This window comes from Homo sapiens, chromosome 6 (assembly GCF_000001405.40).
Source record: "Homo sapiens chromosome 6, GRCh38.p14 Primary Assembly".
Lineage (NCBI taxonomy): Eukaryota > Metazoa > Chordata > Mammalia > Primates > Hominidae > Homo > Homo sapiens.
This window is the reverse complement of record NC_000006.12, coordinates 56630713-56652166: the sequence shown is the minus strand read 5'-3', so window position 1 is coordinate 56652166 and position 21454 is coordinate 56630713. Positions and strand designations below refer to the sequence as shown.

The window sequence follows — 21454 nt, the reverse complement described above, 5'->3', positions numbered from 1 at the left end:
GTAAATCTCACAAATTATAAAGATATGAAGTCTGGGATGTGTGACTGTGTGTGTGTGTAGGGGGGCACATGCACACATGTGTGCTCATGAAAACATAAACTATTGCTTATTATAGACATTCATTTATGATTCAGATTACTAAGGAACCAACCTACTTACCAACTTATCAGTAGATATTTGTTGAGGGTGTACTATATATCATTCTTTATTACAGCAGAAGGATAAAATACAAAATTTTCTTAATACATAGTACTTGCTATCTTGGAGTTGACGGTTTGGGAGAAACAACATATACATGTACACGAACCAGTGAATTAATAGGGCAAGGAGTCTAAGATTATCCTAAGTGCCATATCGTGGGGTGCAGGCTGGAAGTATGAGTTCAGGAAACAGAGACAGAAATAAGGGCTAGGAAGATCAGCCAGGCTCCATAGAGGAGGTGGAGCTTGATCTCTCCTTGGAAGAATGACTAGGATTATAGAAGACAAAGATGATGTGAAAGGGTATGGTGCAATGGGGAGGCCATGGACACAGCACTGAATTAAGCTACAAGCTTTTTGTCTTAGAGGAAAAACATTGACAGGATGCTGGTTGGATTGGAAAGATGCTGTTGGAGTAGCGTAGCTTAAATCAGTTGAATAGGACAAATACTCATATATATTCTGACTATGATATATTTGTAGACTTTGTTGAAATTTATATATGTTCAAATTGTTATATTTTCATTGTTATATTTGCTTTCGATACAGAAGTTTCTGAGATAAGTGAGCAATGTTAAATGTTTGATGAAAGTCTCTGCATTTTAACGCAGGCTTGGTGTTAATATTAGCAGATGTTGTTATGTAAATGGAAACCTATATAATTATATAATGTTGAATTGGCACATGAGAAAACCTAATTAACACAGTGAATTTTTTCCTAGGCCGGACCTGATAGATATGAATACTGTTGCTGTTCAAAGCAACCTTGCAAATTTAGAGCATGCTTTTTACGTAGCAGAAAAAATTGGTGTTATAAGACTTCTGGACCCTGAAGGTGAGTTATTTTCTTGATTATATGTGGACTGGCATGAAAGTCTGATCAAAAGTAATTTATCAACATTGTGAAATAATTAATTTATGTTGCTGTTTTTAGATGTCGATGTCTCCTCACCTGATGAAAAATCAGTAATAACTTACGTGTCATCTCTCTATGATGCATTTCCTAAAGTCCCTGAAGGTGGGGAAGGCATTGGTGCAAATGTGAGTATTGATTTTTCCACACCGGAAGCTGTTGATTCAGTAATGACCAATTGACTGCATTTATTGATAATGATTTTTGCAGTTTTTGAATGTTGAATATATTTTAAAGAATTTGAGTTAATATGCTGTTTGATGAATTGATATTCTATGTATTTCATGACATTATTCTACCATTAAATTTAAAGTATAACTCATTAAAACTTTTGTGTCATAAATAAAAGAGGCTATTTATAGTTACCGATCATCTTATAAATAAAAGGTTTAACTTTCTGAAATTTAGAGTTTTCCATTTTTAGCTGGCTGCCGTTTTACATTGCTGTATTTGCTATTCTTTTGTATGTATAGAATATCTCAGTTTTGAAAACAATTTCAAATTTGTTACTTCATACGATTCTATGAAATAAGTTGGCTTGATAACATTTTTGTGATTTAAAGGAGGACTCCAGAGGAAAATTATTGGATTTGGCCAAATTAGCAGAGCCACTTAGTAAGCAGGGAAAGGTCTCTGACACATAGCTTTGGGCTGTTTATTAGTCTACTATTTCTTAAAGGTTTGTGTAACTCACTTCAGTGATGCTTTTTTTTTTTTTTTTTTTTTTTGGGTGGTTATGCTAACAAGTGCTTATGCATTTCTGAAGAGAACAGGAAGCCCAGTATGTGTCACATATTTGGGGATGATCCCCTTCACTTGGATTTCTGCCTTCCTCTTTGCAGACACCTTTTTTCCCCTACATTACTTTGAAGATTTAGGAGCTCATCTTTGATTAGCTCCCCTGGATTAGGAGCTCCCTTTTCTGATTGCTTCTGTCAGTTCTCTGTGCTGTTTCTAGACCTGTTTCCATATTCTTCCTCAGGTTCTTCTTTTCAAAGGCTTCATGCTCTTTGATCCCTGAGTAGCCTGTTCCCATGCTCACCCCTGATGATTCAATGTTGAGCGTTGCTTCAGAATGTTTCTTTGGCCATCTCTTGCTGCTGCTTCTCCCAACCTTCATGCTGATCCTGCTGCCTATTACTGCAGAACTAGGCCGATAGCTTTCCTACAGCTTTCTGTCTCCATTTTGTTCTTCTTCCCACTGCCTCGGCACACTGTTGCCAAATTAATCTGTCTAAAACCTGATGTCTTTGGCTTGAAAATTTTCAGTGTCTACATATTCCTTGCAAAGTTAAATGCAATCTAGATATTCTGACATTTAAAACTGCAAATATTTATTCTGTTTACCTACATGTTTTAGCTATGATTTCCCAATATGAACTGTTTACTGGTAGCCAGGACATTTCCATGTCAATGTCCTGACTCACTTGGGACTCCCCTTTTATCCACTCTTTCAGCACCCCCACTCACCTCCCCCCATCAATAATTACTTACTGGTCATTGCAGAACATCTCAGATACTGCCTTTCCCAAGAAGCCTTTAGAAACTATTTTAAGGCACAGATATGCTTGCCTGATTCTTATCTCAACTAGCATGTACTACCCGTTTTAGTTATTTCAACATTTCAACACTTAATTAAATACTGCTCTTCATTTTGCCTGTTTATATTATGTATCTCTCTTGCCTCTGCATTTAGACAGTAACTCCTTGACAATAGGTATTATATCTTAAAGTATTTTTTTATTATAACACTCAACACAACCTTTGAACATAATAATAAGCACTCATCAAATACTTAAACAGAGCAGTTGGCAGCCTTCCAAGTTTCCTCCATTTTTAAAGAGTTTGCCTACTGAGTACTTGGATAATCCCACCATATACATTTCCTGTAGTTTGTGTACATATCTGGTTTCCTATATATTGGGTAAGTCTTTTGAGTTTGAGATACATAGTAGATTTAGATCTAAAATAGTTGGCAAAGATGGCAACTAACTTGGCTTATGCAAGTTGTTACTGCCCAATCTTGAGCCCTGGTAAACACCCCAAATTGACTTTGGATTTTTTTCTGCTGTGCTTAGATTGAGCCCCAAAAGCCTTCTAAATACAATACCCCAGGCAGCCACTTTCTTTGGATCAGAATTGGCACTCATAAGGCTAGTGTTAGTGGCCAAATGTTGATAGCAAATTTTACAGGTGTTTATGTGACAGGGATTGGGGCTGGGTGAAAGTAAGAAAACATTTAGCTGGTTCTGTCTGTCAGGCTTCAAATACATACATTTACAGAATGACTTCTGACTAAATTGTCTTAGATATGAATGTTATTATCTACAGATGTGAACCTTTTCTATCATTTGATTGTTCTAGGATGTTGAAGTCAAATGGATTGAATACCAGAATATGGTGAACTACCTCATCCAATGGATTAGACACCATGTGACCACAATGTCTGAGAGAACATTTCCTAATAATCCTGTAGAACTGAAGGTTAGTGTCACTGTAGAAATTACATAGGATTGATTCAATTGTAAACCCTTAAGTAATGCTATAATAATTCTGTAATTTTAGAAGTTCAACAAAAGTTGCCCTTGGAAAGCCATTAATAAGTAGGCAAAATTTGTATTACTCATTTCTCTTATTATACAGAGAAAATGGAGGTAAAACATTAACAATTAAAACAGATTAGCTGTAGTCACTCAGCTTTGGTTGAGAGGTTAAAGGTTTAATTTGAGAGAGTCTCTGAAACTGACATTGTCAGATTGATTTTAGTACATGGGAAATGCTTGCAGCCCCCGAGATGGCTTGAGGTAGAAGGGACCCTGGGAAGTACATACAAGTGTGGCACTGGATTGGGGGTGTGCCTGTGGTTGAGCCCTGTTAAAAACTGCTTCTTTTGTGCAGGAAGCATCTTTTGTGCAGGAAGAGGTACACAGTATTTCACCATGAATTTGAAAATACATGTCTGACTTCCAGTATAAGTGAATTCATGGTTTAGTAAAACATTTGCTAATACTGAAAAACTTAGGGCAAGCTTTTGAGGCAAAGACATTGCAGATATAAAAGCCATTATAGGCCGGGTGCGGTGGGTCACACCCGTAATCCCAGCACTTTGGGAGGCCAAGATGGGTGGATCACCTGAGGTCAGGAGTTTGAGACCAGCCTGGCTAACATGGTGAAACCCCATCTCTATTAAAAATACAAAAATCAGCCTGGCGTGGTGGCACACACTTGTAATCCCAGTTACTCAGGAGGCTGAGGCAGGAGAATCGCTTGAACCTGGGAGGTGGAGGTTGCAGTAAGCCGAGATCGCATCACTGCACTCCATCCTGGGCGAGAGAGCAAGACTCCGTCTCAAAAAAAAAAAAAAACATTACAAAAAGCCATTACAAATATGTAAACTTATTAAAGAGTAAGTTGTCTCATTTGTATATTTGGTTTTATAATAGCAAAGTGGTCTACTTTATTTCTAGAAGCTGATAATGCGAATATTGCCGACAAAGCCTTAATTCTTTGGTTTGTAAGCTTTATTTTCATGATCAAACTGGGATAGAAAAAACTGTAATAACCTAGGGTGAGCTCCATTAGAGTTATTCATTGTGCTCCTGCATCCGTACAGAATATCTGTAGAACAGCTTTCATTCTCATTGCCACGGGGAGTTTGTCCTTGGCACGAAATTACTTGGCATCTGATGATATGATACTTTTTAAGTGTTCTCAAGCTGTTTGTGTGATGTTTCCCTACATGGACATGTAATTTTCCAGGGCAGGAAAACTTTTCCCTACAACGACCATGTGGTGCCATGAACAGTGTTTAGCACACAGGAGTATTCGGTGCTTAATGACCAACAGACGTCCTGAAACATTGCATTCTGATTTCAAAACCATTTTCAGATTTCATGTTCAAATACACTTATTTCCAAATGGATTTCCATTGTCCAGACCCTTGGATGAATTGTACTGGCTTCTGGTTAGTGTAGATTCTTAGTTATAGAAGAAGTGATCAGAGTACTTGCTGATGACTAGAACAAGACATAGATTAGGAAAGAAAATACATCATGGGGAAATGCCAGATAATTGCATTAGCAGAACTTTGAATGGAATCCTTCAGAAATGTGTCATCCTAAAGATTTACAGGGTCTTGTTTTGTAGCTGCATGAATTACAATGAAGTAATTAGTACATACCTATTAAATATGGAGATACATTATCTACATAATTTTTATGAAGGTCCCTTTTAATAAATACACTGTATTTAAGAGGTTCCCAAATTAATGTATACAAACTAGATAGTAACTTAATTACACGGTTGAAACTTCTGTAATAATAGCCCCATCAACTAATAGCATCTACCTTCATTTGTTCAAAAAATCTGTTTAAATTTGCCAGTGGGACATTGAAACTAAATTTTAGCCCTTTCTGCTAAGAAGTTTTTTTTTTTTGAAGGATAGAACCATGCAATAGAAGAGAGTTTTTTTATTGCTTTCTTTATGGGAATTGCTTCAAATTATTTTTCCAAAGACTGAAAGCTAAAGTGCAGCATTTGGGAAGTGCATCTTTTAAAGGGTATGTTTTCTTGTTTGGAGGATGAGAGATTTTTAGTAGAGCACTAGTAAACACTGAATGGTTTATTATTATCCAGATCCCCCTGTGGCACTAAATCATGGCTCACATCAATAATTACACCCTCATCAAATTTTAGATAACCCACGTCACCAGCTGGCTGGAAATTGGTATTGTCTTTGAGTGTCGGTTTAACAAAGGAATTCCACTGACTGCATATGATACAGTACATAACACTTGAAGTGGTGGCTTAGTGAGATCATGAAAACAGATCTTTTAAGTTTGGTCCTTAATTTCTTGTCCTTTTTATTTTAGGCACTTTATAATCAGTATTTACAGTTTAAAGAAACAGAAATTCCACCAAAGGAGACAGAAAAATCAAAAATTAAACGTCTATATAAATTATTAGAGGTAAGCTCAAATTTGCTTTGTATTGTCAAGCATAGTCTTTGTTTTGTTTTGTTTTCATTTTTGCTTCACATTAAAGTTTTTTGTTTTCTCAAGATTTGGATAGAATTTGGACGCATCAAGCTCCTTCAAGGTTATCATCCAAATGACATAGAAAAAGAGTGGGGGAAACTCATTATTGCCATGCTAGAGAGAGAGAAGGCCCTTCGTCCAGAAGTAGAAAGGTAGGCCAGAGGTGTTTTCTGCCATGAATATCAAGTGGGGAGGGGGCCTTTGTGTTCTTGTGAAAGAACTTAAGTTAAACCTCTGTTTACTTGGCCTTGGATAAGTCTCTTAATCCTTTTGATCCTCCATTTTCTTACCTAGAAACTCTTCTAAGAGATTTTAAGGAGGCAATCAGTGAAGTAATGTATATAAATGACCGGCTAGGCTGGATTGGTATGTGAAGTCTCATCTAATAAGGCTTTACAGTTTTAAAACCAGTCAAAATTACTTGTAATTTCTCATATTGACCTTAAGTCACCAGGGCCTGGATCTAAAAGCTTATAGGACAACAGCTGATTTTATTTCTTATTACATTTTTTTGCTATAGTTCTCTTTCCAAGGGGCATTGGAAACCAAAATCTAGCTTGCCTTCATTTAAAGGGTGTTGGATGGCGTCTAGAACACACTCAGTAAATGTTAGTTCAGGTTCCCTTTCTGCCACGCTTCTACAAGTGGATTTACTCCATGAAATCATCACTAGTTCTCTGTCATTTTGTCTCTCACTACATCCAGTTGCCCAGGAAGGTACCATTTAGTCTTCAGGAAATGCTTGTTGGATGAATTTGTCTCCCTTACAGTCTTAACCTGGTACCTGGGAATTGTGATCTGTGTTCCTCATTAGCCATGAAGTCTATAGGACCTAGACCTTGCAGGGTGTATTAGTCCATTCTCACGCTGCTAATAAAGACATATCTGAGACTGGGTAATTTATAAAGGAAAGAGGTTTAATTGACTCACAGTTACATATGACTGGAGAGGCCTCACAATCATGGTGGAAGGCGAATGAGGAGCAAAGTCACATCTTACATGTCAGCAGGCAAGAGCTTGTGCAGGGGAACTCCCATTTACAAAACCGTCAGATCTCTTGAGACTTATTCATTACCATGAGAACAGTATGGGGGAAATCGCCCCCGTGATTCAGTTATCTCCACCTGGCCCCACACTTGACACATGAGGATTATTACAATTCAAGATGAGATTTGGGTGGGGACACAGGCAAACCATATTACAGGGTAAGGCCTGTGTGGCCAGACACACCTCTCCAGCCCCCTTGCTCTCTGCACAGTAGCCACACTGGCTGCCTTACACCTAAACATTCTCAGATCTCAGCTCCAACATTATTTTCTCGAGAAACTTTCCATGGTTCCCTAGGCTAGTTCAGATATCTTGCTTAGAACTCTCATGTTTCCATGTATTGTTCCTTCATAGTGCTTATCTTGGTTGTATTTTTATATTTATTTCGGTGATTGCTTAAGTCTTGCCTATTCCACAGATATGAGCTCCAAGAATGTGGAGAGAAACCCTTGTTTTTTTTCTGTCCCTTGCGTTGCCAGTGCTTTACACAGCGCCTGACACAACATTAGAGGTGCTCAGTATTGTCATGTTCTCTGTGCCTTACACATTGACTTCAGGATTCAACGTTGTGAAATAATGCATAAAATAAATATATGAGAGCATGTCTAACCTGTCAGTCCTTTATTAAATTACTGATTACATTTATGTTAAAGTATAATAATATGTGTACATAACTGGATTATTAAAACCAAAACAAGCCATAAATATACAGGATGCAGCTTTTACGGAAAAGGTAATTTGAGTGATTGAAATGAGATACTATGTTAATCATTTGAAATAATGGAAAAGTATTCCAGAGGATACAGAGTAGATTTTTAGTCATCAGAACAGTAGCTGAATTTTAAGATATGTTCATAAAAGAAAGCAGAGAGTGGTTGAGAGTTCAGGGCCTAGAAGCCACTCAATTTTAAATTAGATTATTAGCTCAGCCTGCAAAGTTGTATGATGTTAGACAAGTTCTTTAACCGTCTAAGCCTCAGTTTCTTCATTTGTAAACAGGATGTAATAGTGCCTACTACATTGGGTGGTTATGAGTATGAGATGAGTTATGTATCTAAAATGATTAATTTCTTGCACATAATAATTACTTAATAAATGCCAGGTGCCACTGTTATTGTTTTGAGCTATTCTGTTCACTCACTATATTTGATGTGGCACTCTCACACTTGATCTTAGCCAAAAGGCCAAGAAGCAATTGGTGTGGCACTCTCAAATTTCCCCTTTCTTGACCCCTGAAAAGAAAAATATCTATTCTTAGAGTGGAGAAGTAACAGTATTATTGGAGGTAGGAAAATATTTAGGAGGCTGGTTGGATAAATGCCTTCATGTTTCTTCATGCGAATTTTTTGGCATTGTCTATGTATTGCGAGTAATAGCTATGTGGCATGGAAGTGTATGAAAAACAAATGGGAAAGAGCCAGTGTTCTTATGCCATGTAATATCCTATAGAATGGAAAAACAAGCACAGACAAATTAAATTTGTAAGCATTGCATCAGTATTCTACTTGGCACTTTATAGTAGGTTTAGAAGTAACATTACTGGGAGCGTGTCATATAAAGAAAGGTAAATGGATACTTTTTCCATTAATTTAACCTAATAAACAAATGACATGGTGGTTAAAATGGAAGCGTACTTTGCTTCTCATCAAATTCATTTGTTTATAGGTACTTCATAATTTCTAGCTGTTTGCCTTCCTTACATTATTCAGCACAGACCTGGTCTTTTGCAGAAGTCAGACTATGATTGGATATTTGTGTTCTTTTAGCTAATGATTGGTATTGCCAGAATAATCTTTACTAGTTGTCCTGGACATCTGTGAGGCATCTGAGTTGTTTTTTAGGTGGTTGCAATTGGATGACTCTTAGTGCAAATATTTGGCATATCCTTTCCAGTGACGCCCAATCTGCCTGCTTTGTTCATACTTGTAGGGTTTTAATACAAGCTACAAAAGGCAAACCTCAGCTAGCAAACGAATGGCTTTAGGCTAGATTCTTTTGAATAGTTATCAGCATATTATTTGCTGTGTGTTGCATATGCATGTTGAAGCATATTTAAGGAGCCACTAAAAGCTGTAATATTCAGCTGCCACTTTTCACCGTTAGAAGTAGAGCTTTTTCCAGACCTCCTACCTTTTAGTCTACTTTGAAAGGTGAAAGAAAGAACATCGTTTCAGGAATAAAAATGCACAGTAGTAGTTATAGTTACCGTAGCAGTGATTCTGTGTTTAGTAACACTACCAGCACTCGAACCAGTCTTGATTCAAATGAAAATCTTCTCTTGGTTCATTGTGGTCCAACACTGATCAACTCTTGCATTAGCTTCGGCAGTGAATCCTTTGATGGACACAGGTATTGAATCATTGGTGTGGGATTGTGTTTTACTTTTTGATGGGCAGCACTTTTCAGGAATGGTGAGCTCTTTGACTTCAAAGGGAGAAGCTTTATTTTATTTTGTCTCATCTTTTAGGTTAGAAATGTTGCAACAGATTGCCAACAGAGTTCAGAGGGACAGTGTCATCTGTGAAGACAAACTGATTCTTGCTGGAAATGCTCTTCAGTCTGTAAGTTAATTTTAGGAGCCATTGGGGTTGTGGTAGAGGAGTCACTGTGCGTTTGGATGAACTAAAACTTTTACATAATGTTTGGTTGATTCTTCGTAATACTCTCCACTGAAACTTAAAGTTTGTTAAAGATTATGATTGGTGTTTGCTCTCTTGAGAGACAAGAAGAGGGAAAACATATTTTTGAACCAACAAGGAAAACTAAAGAAAGCCCAAGTAGGCTTCTGTTCCAATATTTGATGTTTTATATTTCAGGTTGTTTTGAAACTTGTTTCACAGAATTAATACTGAGTTCTTTTAAAATACAGGATTCTAAAAGATTAGAATCAGGAGTGCAGTTTCAGAATGAAGCAGAAATTGCTGGGTATATACTTGAATGTGAGAACCTTTTACGCCAGCATGTAATTGATGTACAGATTCTTATTGATGGAAAATACTACCAGGCAGATCAATTGGTACAGAGGTAAGAGTGCTACTTATTCTTTCTCTGTCCTTTTTTTGTGTAACTGTTTCATGGGCATTTGAAATAGGAATGTAGAGTATGAAAATTTTATGAAATATATTTCTTTGCTGTTTTTTAGTTGAAAATGTGTGTCACATTTTTATATATTTTGGTGTTTAAGTAGGTACTTGTCTTTTAAAGATTAGCAATAGAAAAAATATTTTATGGTGCGTATAATACTGCTGCAGTAACTAACTCGTTAAAATGAATACCCTAGATATAGATGTAAGTTACATGCATACATTTACATACATTTAAAGTATTCATGGGATGTTTGAAAGAGAAAAAAATCTAAGAAAAGTGTCTGTTTTTTGTTCTTTGAGATGCAGTTTTGCTCTCTCACCCAGGCTGGAGTGCAGTGGTGTGATCTCGGCTCACTGCAGCCTCTGCCTCCTGGGTTCAGGCGATTCTCATGTCTCAGCCTCCCTAGTAGCTGGGATTACAGGCACCCGCCACCACACCTGGCTAATTTTTTGTATTTTTAGTGGAGGCAGGGTTTTGCCATGTTTGCCAGGCTGGTCTTGTACTCCTGACCTTAAGTGATCCACCTGCCTCAGCCTCCCAAAATGCTGTGATTATAGGCATGAGCCACCATGCCTGGCCAAAAAGTGTCATTTTTAATTCAGCTTTTTAGTTTTCTGTTTATCCTATTATGAAAATGTTCATAACAAAATCTTGAAAGAAAATACGTGTATAAAAACCTTTATCACTGAGAAGTGTGTGTATGGGGGTAAGTATGGAATATTTCAGGCTATAACCTCTCTCTCTCTCTCTCTCTCTCTCTCTCTCTCTGTGCATAAATATGTAAATGCAAAAATTTTAAATGATCCTTTGACTCAGTAATTTCACCTTTAGGAATCTATAGTAATTCTAAATATGAAAAATATATACATAAATGTAAAAATGATCATATTATGCTATAGTAATTGTATTCATTATAAATCATAGTTATAAAGACAAATAAGATTGAAAGTCCTCATAGTACAATGCTCATTGAAAAAAATCATGATGCAAAATTTTAGCAATGTGATTTCAATTGCCTCCTCATTTTGCTTGTTTGTATTTTTGAGCCGTTTAGGCATACTGAAAAATTGAGTGAAAAATACAGAGTTCCCATATGCTCCCTTATACCTCCCTCTTCCCCTGTTATTTACATCTTGCATTAGTGTGGCACATTTGCTAAAACTGATAAGCCAACATTGATACATCATTATTAACTAAAACCTATAATTAACATTAGAGTTCACTCTTTGTTACAAGTGCCTTTATATTTCACCTTATCCCTTTGGATTTTCTTTTCAGGGTTGCAAAACTGCGTGACGAAATTATGGCCTTAAGGAACGAATGTTCTTCTGTGTACAGCAAAGGACGCATACTGACAACAGAACAGACAAAGCTCATGATATCAGGAATCACTCAAAGTTTAAACTCAGGATTTGCACAGACCTTACACCCTAGTCTGACCTCAGGGCTGACCCAGAGTTTAACACCTTCCCTAACCTCTTCTAGTATGACTTCTGGCCTGTCATCAGGGATGACTTCCCGCCTGACTCCATCTGTCACTCCAGCTTATACACCTGGTTTCCCATCAGGATTAGTTCCAAATTTCAGTTCAGGAGTAGAGCCAAATTCATTGCAAACTTTGAAGTTGATGCAGATCCGAAAACCCCTTCTAAAGTCTTCTTTGCTGGATCAAAATTTAACAGAAGAAGAAATCAATATGAAATTTGTTCAGGATCTTTTGAATTGGGTTGATGAGATGCAGGTAAAAAAATGTTTACTTTACCTGAGTGTTTCAGTCTTTATTGTTATCAATTTCTTTTTTAAACTTAGTATTTTACTGTCTGAAGGTACAACTGGACCGCACTGAGTGGGGCTCAGATTTGCCAAGTGTTGAAAGCCATTTAGAAAATCATAAAAATGTTCATAGAGCTATTGAAGAATTTGAATCTAGTCTCAAAGAAGCTAAAATCAGTGAGGTATGTGAATTTAAAATTTGTATATATTTCATTTTAGTTTACTCTTGTTTTGCTTTTTACATGAAGACCCTGTAAATCAATAATAGATACATTAAGTGTGAGTCAGAATTCCTTCAGATTCCTGACTGGAGTGTCTTTTTAATCTCATGTTATAGATTCAAATGACAGCACCTCTTAAACTGACTTATGCAGAAAAGTTGCACAGATTAGAGAGTCAGTATGCAAAACTCTTGGTAAGTTTTTTTTTTTAAACCTTCTGTTTCCCTTATCTATATTTGGCAAAAACATGATTCTTATGATGATTTTCCTTACTAAAGAATACATCCAGGAATCAAGAACGGCACCTTGATACACTCCATAATTTTGTAAGTCGTGCGACTAATGAACTTATTTGGTTGAATGAAAAAGAAGAGGAGGAAGTTGCTTATGACTGGAGTGAGAGAAACACCAACATAGCTAGGAAAAAAGATTATCATGCTGTAAGTACACCCTTTGTACTTGCATACTAGGGTTGCATTTTAGGTTTATATATTTTTCTAACACACTTCTTAATTATTTCTTGAAGGAATTAATGAGAGAACTTGATCAAAAGGAAGAAAATATTAAATCAGTTCAGGAGATAGCAGAGCAGCTACTTCTAGAAAATCATCCAGCCCGGTTAACTATTGAGGTAAAGCTGGAAAGTGTAATGGTGTTGGTTGAATATTGATATGATTATTTCCCTTCAGATTCTTTTATTGCTGAGAAGTTGAAAATTACAAGCCATCTAACTTTTATTAAAACCTGGCTCAGAAATGTTTCTGACAAATTGTACTGATTGCCTTCAGTTCTCTGGCTCTAAGTATGTCACCCATCACTTAGAATAAAAGTACCCTTGTCAGCCTCTGTGGCTGAGAAGATGTATTGCTGTAAATATGAAGTACCTTCTCTGTGTAAGCATTGCCATATTATTTATTTCTGATTGTGTAACATTGCACAAGTGACATAGTATTGCCAAGCCTCATTTTCCTACCAAGAATGGGAGAGATTACCTCTAATCCATAGAGTTGTGATGAGAATAAGAAGGAAATAATTTACTCTTACTGCTTAGTATAGTTTTTGGTACATTATTTGTTCTCAAAAAAATACCAGCTGTTATGATTCAATTTAATACTTTTATTTATGCTCTGGTTTTGTGAGGTGTATTGGGACAGCATCCTGACAAGGCTTTATAATGTGCAGTGAACATTTCAAATTCAGAAGTGGAAAATTGAGATGGGATTTATCAGGTTGCCTATGCAGTTGGGACAATGTTTTAAATTGTATATTAGACAGAGTTAGTGACTTTCTGAATGGAGAATAGGGGGATTATGTAAGAAAGTAGGGATTGTCACACATGGGCAGTCAGATGTGATATTTTGCCAGAGGAAAAAAAATGATGCTGGTCCTGAAAGTTGTCATGCTTCAAACTCACAATTGAGGAAAGGAATCTGATAGATTCACTGAAATCATAATAACTCAAAAGATTAGTACAATTCTAGGCTCATCAGGAAGTTTTAGGGATGTTATGTATGATCTTTTATATAAAATACGGTTTTGTGTCTACATGAAATGTCACATATGAATGTTAAAAACGTAGAAGAGTAGGGAATCTTTAGGGAAAGGAGAGTAATGGAGGGCCTGGGATGTGGTTTTGTACACTAATACACTAAAAAGAGTATTTCTTAGGGTGGAGAGATGAAAACTGTTAGGAAATACTATTATGGGCCAAGAATTTTGATGGGAATGGAACATGTGAATGTCACTCTGATCACTTTTATGTAAAAATTATAATTTAATTAATAAAAAATTTCTTAAGAAGTAAAATGAAACCTTAGTCATCTTTATGATCCCATCGGCCTGTCCTGTGTCTTGTTTGGGTACATGGATAATATTTAGTTAATTATCAATACTGTTTCATATTTTATATGAAAAAAATATGATACATCTTTTATAGCCAATTTACTGAAAGTAGCTTAATTTGAGGTAGAATATGATCATGATATGTTGCCAGATATTCAATGCTGCATCATACATTCCATTCGGAAGTCCTGCCTAAGTATAGCTCAGCAGGAATGAACTTTTCCAAAAGGAGGGAAAATGACAGGCTTACTTAAAATAGTCATTAAAGCATCTCGAGTGCCCTCTTCTGGAAATCAATGAATTGCACCTTAAATAGAAAAGAGTATTTCATGTTTCCTTGAGGAAGGAGGTATCCTTTGTACAATATTGTTTACCCTCATGAAAGATACACTCTCTATTAAATTAGAAGTTCAAGAAACACATTTTTAAAATAAAAATTCCTAGTATTATCATCATTATAATTCCAGAATTACACCAATTTGGGAGTACACACATTTTCTTTTCCACCCTCCCCAAACCTCATCCCAGCAAAAACAAAGAGAAACCGACATAACCATATATTTCTGTGTTAGAAGGTATATTTTATGATCTAGCACCGTAAAAATTCAGAGAAAGGAGAGATGAATGTGCCACGAAAGAAAACATATCGGAGGATTCCACAAAGCAGATGTAAGAGTTGGTGGCAAAGGAGTCAAGTGTTGGTTTTGTAAACAGGAGGGATAGCTTGCATTTATTTTAGTTTTTAAATATTTTTTCCCGTAGCCAGAGATAATTTTTTTCTTATATTTTAATAAGAAATTTCAAGAAGTTTAAAATTGAAAAGAAATCAACTGGAGTGGTTTAAGAATTTATATTTAAACTTTAGGACTGACTTTGTACAAGTGAGAAGTCTTAGATAAGAGGAAAATTTTACTGCCCTGATTTTCTTGTTTTTTTTTTGTTTGTTTGTTTGTTTTTGTTTTTTGAGGTGGAGTTTCACTCTTGTTCCCCAGGCTGGAGTGCGATGGCGCAATTTTGGCTCACTGTAACCTCCGCCTCCTGGGTTCAAGCAATTCTCCTGCCTTGGCCTCCTGAGTAGCTGGGATCACAGGCGCGTGCCACCATACCTGGCTAATTTTTGTATTTTTTAGTGGAGATGGGGTTTCACCATGTTGGCCAGGCTGGTCTTGAACTCCTGACCTCAGGTGATCTGCCTGCCTTGGCCTCCCAAAGTGTTGGGACTACAGGCGTGAGCCACCATGCCCAGCCACTGCCCTAATTTCCAAGTCTTATTCTGCCAAAACAATTGGTCATCTATTTAGATAGTAGAGTTAGCATTTAGAAGCATCGATATCAAAAGGTATGTGTGCCTTATTTCTCCCCAGTCAGTTATGATGGCTCTGTTTTATCTTTAAGGCCTACAGAGCGGCAATGCAGACGCAGTGGAGCTGGATCTTACAGCTCTGCCAGTGTGTGGAGCAGCACATAAAGGAGAACACAGCGTATTTCGAGGTATGTGAGTAGAATCATAACTTCAATAGATGGTATTGTGATTTTGGCTAACTTGCAGGAATCTTTTTCATAATTTATTGTTAGGATAACAATGTGTTTCTGTGTATATATATACACACATATATATATACACATATATGTGTGTATATATATACACACATACGTATACACATATATGTGTGTATATATATACACACACATATATATACACATACATATACATATATACACATATATACACACACTGTTATATATGTATATATGTATATGTGTGTGTGTGTGTGTGTTTGTGTGTGTGTGTATATATATATATATATATATGTGAATTGTTTTCTTTGTAGGCCGAAAGAGTTGGTTTTATGTCCTATGAGATAGATTGAAGTATTCTGTTAATGCAGGAATCCTTTAAAAATTCTTAAGATATCATAAAATCTTTATTCTATTCTACAAATGTGTCTCTTATTTAGGAACTGTTTTCATATAGAGAATCAACCATCTATAACCATTTAACTTCTAAAACCATAGAAGTTTTTAAGTATTCTTGGAATTTCACTCCTACTTAAAAATTGTTTAAATCCTAATTTAAAATGGACCTTCAGCCAAAATAATAGAGAGCCAAAACATCATATAAGCTTTGGACACTTAGTATGTTCATTCATAACTATTCAACTTCAAGGGTTATTCTTTGGTCCAAGGAAAGATGTGACTATTAAGCTATCTTGTGCTTTTATTCTCTTCTCACTTATGAGGGGTACACATAGGACCTTGGTATTGGAGTGTGACAACTGTGTGCTTTGCTGGTATTTAACATACTTTAACTTCCAGGTTTCATCTTTCCTTAGTTTTTCAATGATGCCAAAGAAGCTACTGATTACTTAAGGAATCTAAAAGATGCCATTCAGCGGAAGTACAGCTGTGATAGATCAAGCAGCATTCACAAGCTAGAAGACCTTGTTCAGGAATCAATGGTACTAATACAAAACCTATGCATTTTATAAGTATGCATAAGTGATTAGATTAGTGTTTTATATGAGCAGAACTTTGTATTTTATTGGCACTCTTGATATTTCCCACTAATTCAATTACACATTTGCACATTCAGTTTTAGTATTCTTTTGGCAACAAATACAACAGAAGTGTTTTTTTAATGTGATAGCTTTGATATTTTAAGATGGTTTTTAGTGTCGTGTGTGTGTGTGTGCACGTGTGTGTTTAGTTATTCATTTTGCAAATACTTTTTAAGTTCTTAATATATCCTGGGCACTGTTTTAGGTTCTAGAGCTACAGCAGTGAACAAAGCAGACAAGAATCTCTACCTTTGTGGTGCTTACATGCTAGAGAGGGAGTTAGACAATAAACAGAATAAATAAGTAAAATTTGTATAGTATGTTAGGTAGTGTAAATGCCAAAGAGGAAAAAGAAAACCAAACAAACCAAAGAAAGGAAGAGGGATACAAGATGGGGTGGAGGAGGAAAGATTGAAAATTTAGACTAGGTAGTCAGAGAGAAGACTTTTCTGATGAAGTTTAATTTGTGTAAAGTGCTGAAGGCATGGAGAGTACAAGTCTTTTACTTCTTAAAATTCACTGTATTTATTACTTAGGAAGAGAAAGAAGAACTTCTGCAGTACAAAAGCACTATAGCAAACCTAATGGGAAAAGCAAAAACAATAATTCAACTGAAGCCAAGGAATTCTGACTGTCCACTCAAAACTTCTATTCCGATCAAAGCTATCTGTGACTACAGACAAATTGAGGTACTTGTAACTCCTAGAAACAGACCAGTTTCTGTCATTATTCATATATTTTGTAAATGAGATCATATTGCTAACTAGTGATCAAGATTTCCCGCCTCATAAAACAAAAAAAATCCCAGGATTGAGTATGGAAAACAGTTAACAGTGACCTCATTGAGTTATTCTGCTCTTTATTTTAAACCAGATAACCATTTACAAAGACGATGAATGTGTTTTGGCGAATAACTCTCATCGTGCTAAATGGAAGGTCATTAGTCCTACTGGGAATGAGGCTATGGTCCCATCTGTGTGCTTCACCGTTCCTCCACCAAACAAAGAAGCGGTGGACCTTGCCAACAGGTTTGTATATATTAGCTAAAAATGTTGAGCTAGTTTTGGGGGCCCTCTGAAGGTTGAAGGAACAATCAATACTTTGTCAAGGCCCCACAGGATCAAAAGTCTCTAGAACTCATCCGTGGAATATTTCACACAAAAAGAAAAATTGCAGTGTGTTTTCAGAGGGAGTAAAAACATTAATCTGAGTTCTCTTTCATGTATTTCAGAATTGAGCAACAGTATCAGAATGTCCTGACTCTTTGGCATGAGTCTCACATAAACATGAAGAGTGTAGTATCCTGGCATTATCTCATCAATGAAATTGATAGAATTCGAGCTAGCAATGTGGCTTCAGTAAGTATGAATCTGTATGTCAACTCGATATGTCCAAAAATGTGCATGCCTTTTCATATGTGTCGTAGAGTTTGTATTTGCTTTAGAATAGGATGGAGTCCGGCAAATCCATGCTAATATTCATTTATTCAATGAATATTTGTTATATGCCCATAGCATATAAGGCACTTTTTAAGAACTGAGGAAATCTGGAGATCACAAATTTCATTCAGAACTTACTGTGAGATAGGGAGGCAGAATGTAGTTGTTGGATATACGATGATGGGTACAGTTGATTTCATTTGAGTTTCGTAGACTTGTTTTTCTTTGTCGTTAAAACCTAAAATTGTTGGCTGGGCGCGGTGGCTCACGCCTGTAATCCCAGGACTTTGGGAGGCCGAGGCAGGTGGATCACCTAAGAGGTCTGGAGTTCGAGACCAGCCTGACCAACGTGGAGAAACCCTGTCTCTACTAAAAATACAAAACTAGCCAGGTGTGGTGGTGCATGCCTGTAATCTTAGCTACTCGGGAGGCTGAGGCAGGAGAATTGCTTGGACCTGGGGGGCAGAGGTTGCAGTGAGCTGAGATCGCGCTCCAGCCTGGGCAATAAGAGTGAAACTCCGTCTCGGCCGGGCGCGGTGGCTCACACCTGTAATCCCAGCACTTTGGGAGGCCGAGGCGGGCGGATCACGAGGTCAGGAGATCGAGACCATCCCGGCTAAAACGGTGAAACCCCGTCTCTACTAAAAATACAAAAAATTAGCCGGGCGTAGTGGCAGGCGCCTGTAGTCCCAGCTACTTGGGAGGCTGAGGCAGGAGAATGGCGTGAACCCGGGAGGCGGAGCTTGCAGTGAGCCGAGATCCCGCCACTGCACTCCAGCCTGGGCGACAGAGCGAGACTCCGTCTCAAAAAAAAAAAGAGTGAAACTCCGTCTCAAAACAAAAAACAAAAAAAAACCACCTAAAATTGTTAATGAAAAAGACAGTTAATTTCAAATGTTCCTATTTATGATTATTCGTTTAGATTGGCATATACCACACGACCAGTTTGAAGTGTCTCCCATTCAAATCTATGAGTAATAGAATGAATTACATGGGTCTTTGGTCTTCTTTAGATAAAGACAATGCTACCTGGTGAACATCAGCAAGTTCTAAGTAATCTACAATCTCGTTTTGAAGATTTTCTGGAAGATAGCCAGGAATCCCAAGTCTTTTCAGGCTCAGATATAACACAACTGGAAAAGGAGGTTAATGTATGTAAGCAGTATTATCAAGAACTTCTTAAATCTGCAGAAAGAGGTAAAGCATGGGGATCCCTGTCTTTTTTTCCCCATAGGTGTTTAGTTCTGGCTATTTTTTGCTCTCAATGGGAATCTCAATCTTAGGTATATTGTATCACCCAGCCTATGATATGTAGACACAATTGGTGGAACGGTAAAAGCATGTTTGAGGTAGGAAGACTCAAGAAGGGATTAATTTGTTTCCAAATGATAAATTAATGAAAGGTGCCAACCAACTGGTTGGACAAACAACGAATTCTTACTTTTCAACGTTTTCACTATTTTGCAATCCTTCAGTTTCAGAAAAGATTCAATTATTTTCCCATTTACCAAACTTGGATTTTATACAAGGATTAAAGCAAAAGGTTTTTGCCTAGTTAACTTTTGTTAAATACAGATTTTATTCTGAACTTTAAAAATTTTAATTAGAGACAATTTTATTAGTAATATTCTATTTTTTAAAAATCTTAAACATTAAATATTATTTACCTAATATTTACTTTTAAGGATTTTTATTTGATTTTTGTAATTAATTTTTGCAGCTAATATAATTCACATTTTTGTGAACATAAAATAGCAACGTATTACTTTGGACAGCATTTAATCGGAAATTGGTACTTCAAATGGCATTTGGGAAATTTTATTAATTCTTCTTAAATTTTAAGATTTATGTTTTAAGATTTATATCCTTAGAATGGGTTTGTGATGAAAACAGGAATCATTTGCTTGACTAGCTGTGTCCCAGTAATATAAAATTCTCATATTAAAACATAAACAGAAGCTTCTAAGAGATAGAAAACAAGGTATTTTCTAAACATATTTATTTTCACAGAGGAGCAAGAGGAATCAGTTTATAATCTCTACATCTCTGAAGTTCGAAACATTAGACTTCGGTTAGAGAACTGTGAAGATCGGCTGATTAGACAGATTCGAACTCCCCTGGAAAGAGATGATTTGCATGAAAGTGTGTTCAGAATCACAGAACAGGAGGTGAGAGCTATAAATATGTTGGGAAAAAAACTAACTCTCTTAATGACCTTATGTATCAACTCTTGTGACTTCTTAATGTTCAGTTTTGCACACTCACACTAGCCAGTCTAGTGTGAGGTGAGGTCTGATTGTGTAATTATTGCTGATTATAAACTAGGATTCAGTCTACCTCTGACTCAGGTAAACATGAGAATATGTACACGCTCACCTTCATTGTGATGAAGGATATAAGGACTTGTAATAAAAGTCATTATACACCTGCTGTGTGCAAAAGTACTAAGTTAGATGTTGAGGCTAAGGAGATGAACAGTAAGGGAATTATTGATTGTAAAACTTGAATGCTATGATGTAGTTTCTTTGATAACAAACAAAGAATATGTAGATTTCTAAGTCATTGGTTCTTAATGTGAAATGTGTGTTTTTCAACTAGTTTAAGAAAAACACCTCATCACAGGTGATGGCCTGATACCTTTGTTTGTTCTCTGTTTTATAGAAACTAAAGAAAGAGCTGGAACGACTTAAAGATGATTTGGGAACAATCACAAATAAGTGTGAGGAGTTTTTCAGTCAAGCAGCAGCCTCTTCATCAGTCCCTACCCTACGATCAGAGCTTAATGTGGTCCTTCAGAACATGAACCAAGTCTATTCTATGTCTTCCACTTACATAGATAAGTATGTAACTGCTATCTCAATATATAAATTGCTTCATACAACTCTCATTTTTATTTACTATTAATTTAAAATTTTATTTTTATTAATATAAATATTAACTTTTATTTTGTCTTAAGAAATACATTATTGGCTGGGCGTGGTGGCTCATGCCGGTAATCCCAGCACTTTGGGAGGCCAAGGCAGGTGAATCACCTGAGGTCAGGAGTTCGGTACCAGCTTGGCCAACATGGTGGAACCCCATCTCTATAAAAAATACCAAAGTTAGCCAGGCATGGTGGTAAGCGTCTGTAGTCCCAGCTACTCGGGAAGCTGAGGCAGGAGAATCACTTGAACCCGGGAGGTGGAGGTTGCAGTGAGCCGATATCGCGCCACTGCACTCCAGCCTGGGTGACAGAGGAAGACTCCATTTCAAAAAAAAAAAAAAAGAAATACATTATTTTTATGGATTGATGACACTTCTCTATGTTGATAGTGGATGTGCTTCAGAGATGAGTGTGT

The 21454-nt window shown here is 36.6% G+C and overlaps 1 protein-coding gene across 11 annotated transcripts in view; it reads left to right on the top strand.

Moving 5' to 3' along the window:
- The window catches only part of DST (dystonin), a 496835-nt gene that overhangs the window by 302664 nt on the left and 172717 nt on the right, over nt 1-21454 (top strand). For 9 of the 11 annotated variants that reach the window (NM_001144769.5, NM_001374722.1, NM_001374736.1 and 6 more), the window contains 20 exons: nt 923-1035; nt 1135-1241; nt 3478-3597; nt 5985-6080; nt 6174-6301; nt 9664-9757; nt 10066-10220; nt 11562-12024; nt 12110-12238; nt 12394-12471; nt 12556-12717; nt 12804-12908; nt 15515-15610; nt 16453-16578; nt 17214-17366; nt 17551-17705; nt 17909-18035; nt 19130-19313; nt 20127-20284; nt 20778-20956. In NM_001144769.5, coding sequence (NP_001138241.1) covers nt 923-1035; nt 1135-1241; nt 3478-3597; nt 5985-6080; nt 6174-6301; nt 9664-9757; nt 10066-10220; nt 11562-12024; nt 12110-12238; nt 12394-12471; nt 12556-12717; nt 12804-12908; nt 15515-15610; nt 16453-16578; nt 17214-17366; nt 17551-17705; nt 17909-18035; nt 19130-19313; nt 20127-20284; nt 20778-20956 — 2928 coding nt within the window. Of the gene's footprint in view, nt 1-922; nt 1036-1134; nt 1242-3477; nt 3598-5984; nt 6081-6173; nt 6302-9277; nt 9546-9663; nt 9758-10065; nt 10221-11561; nt 12025-12109; nt 12239-12393; nt 12472-12555; nt 12718-12803; nt 12909-15514; nt 15611-16452; nt 16579-17213; nt 17367-17550; nt 17706-17908; nt 18036-19129; nt 19314-20126; nt 20285-20777; nt 20957-21454 lie in introns of those variants that run through there. The other 2 variants (NM_015548.5, NM_001723.7) reach the window with 1 other exon arrangement.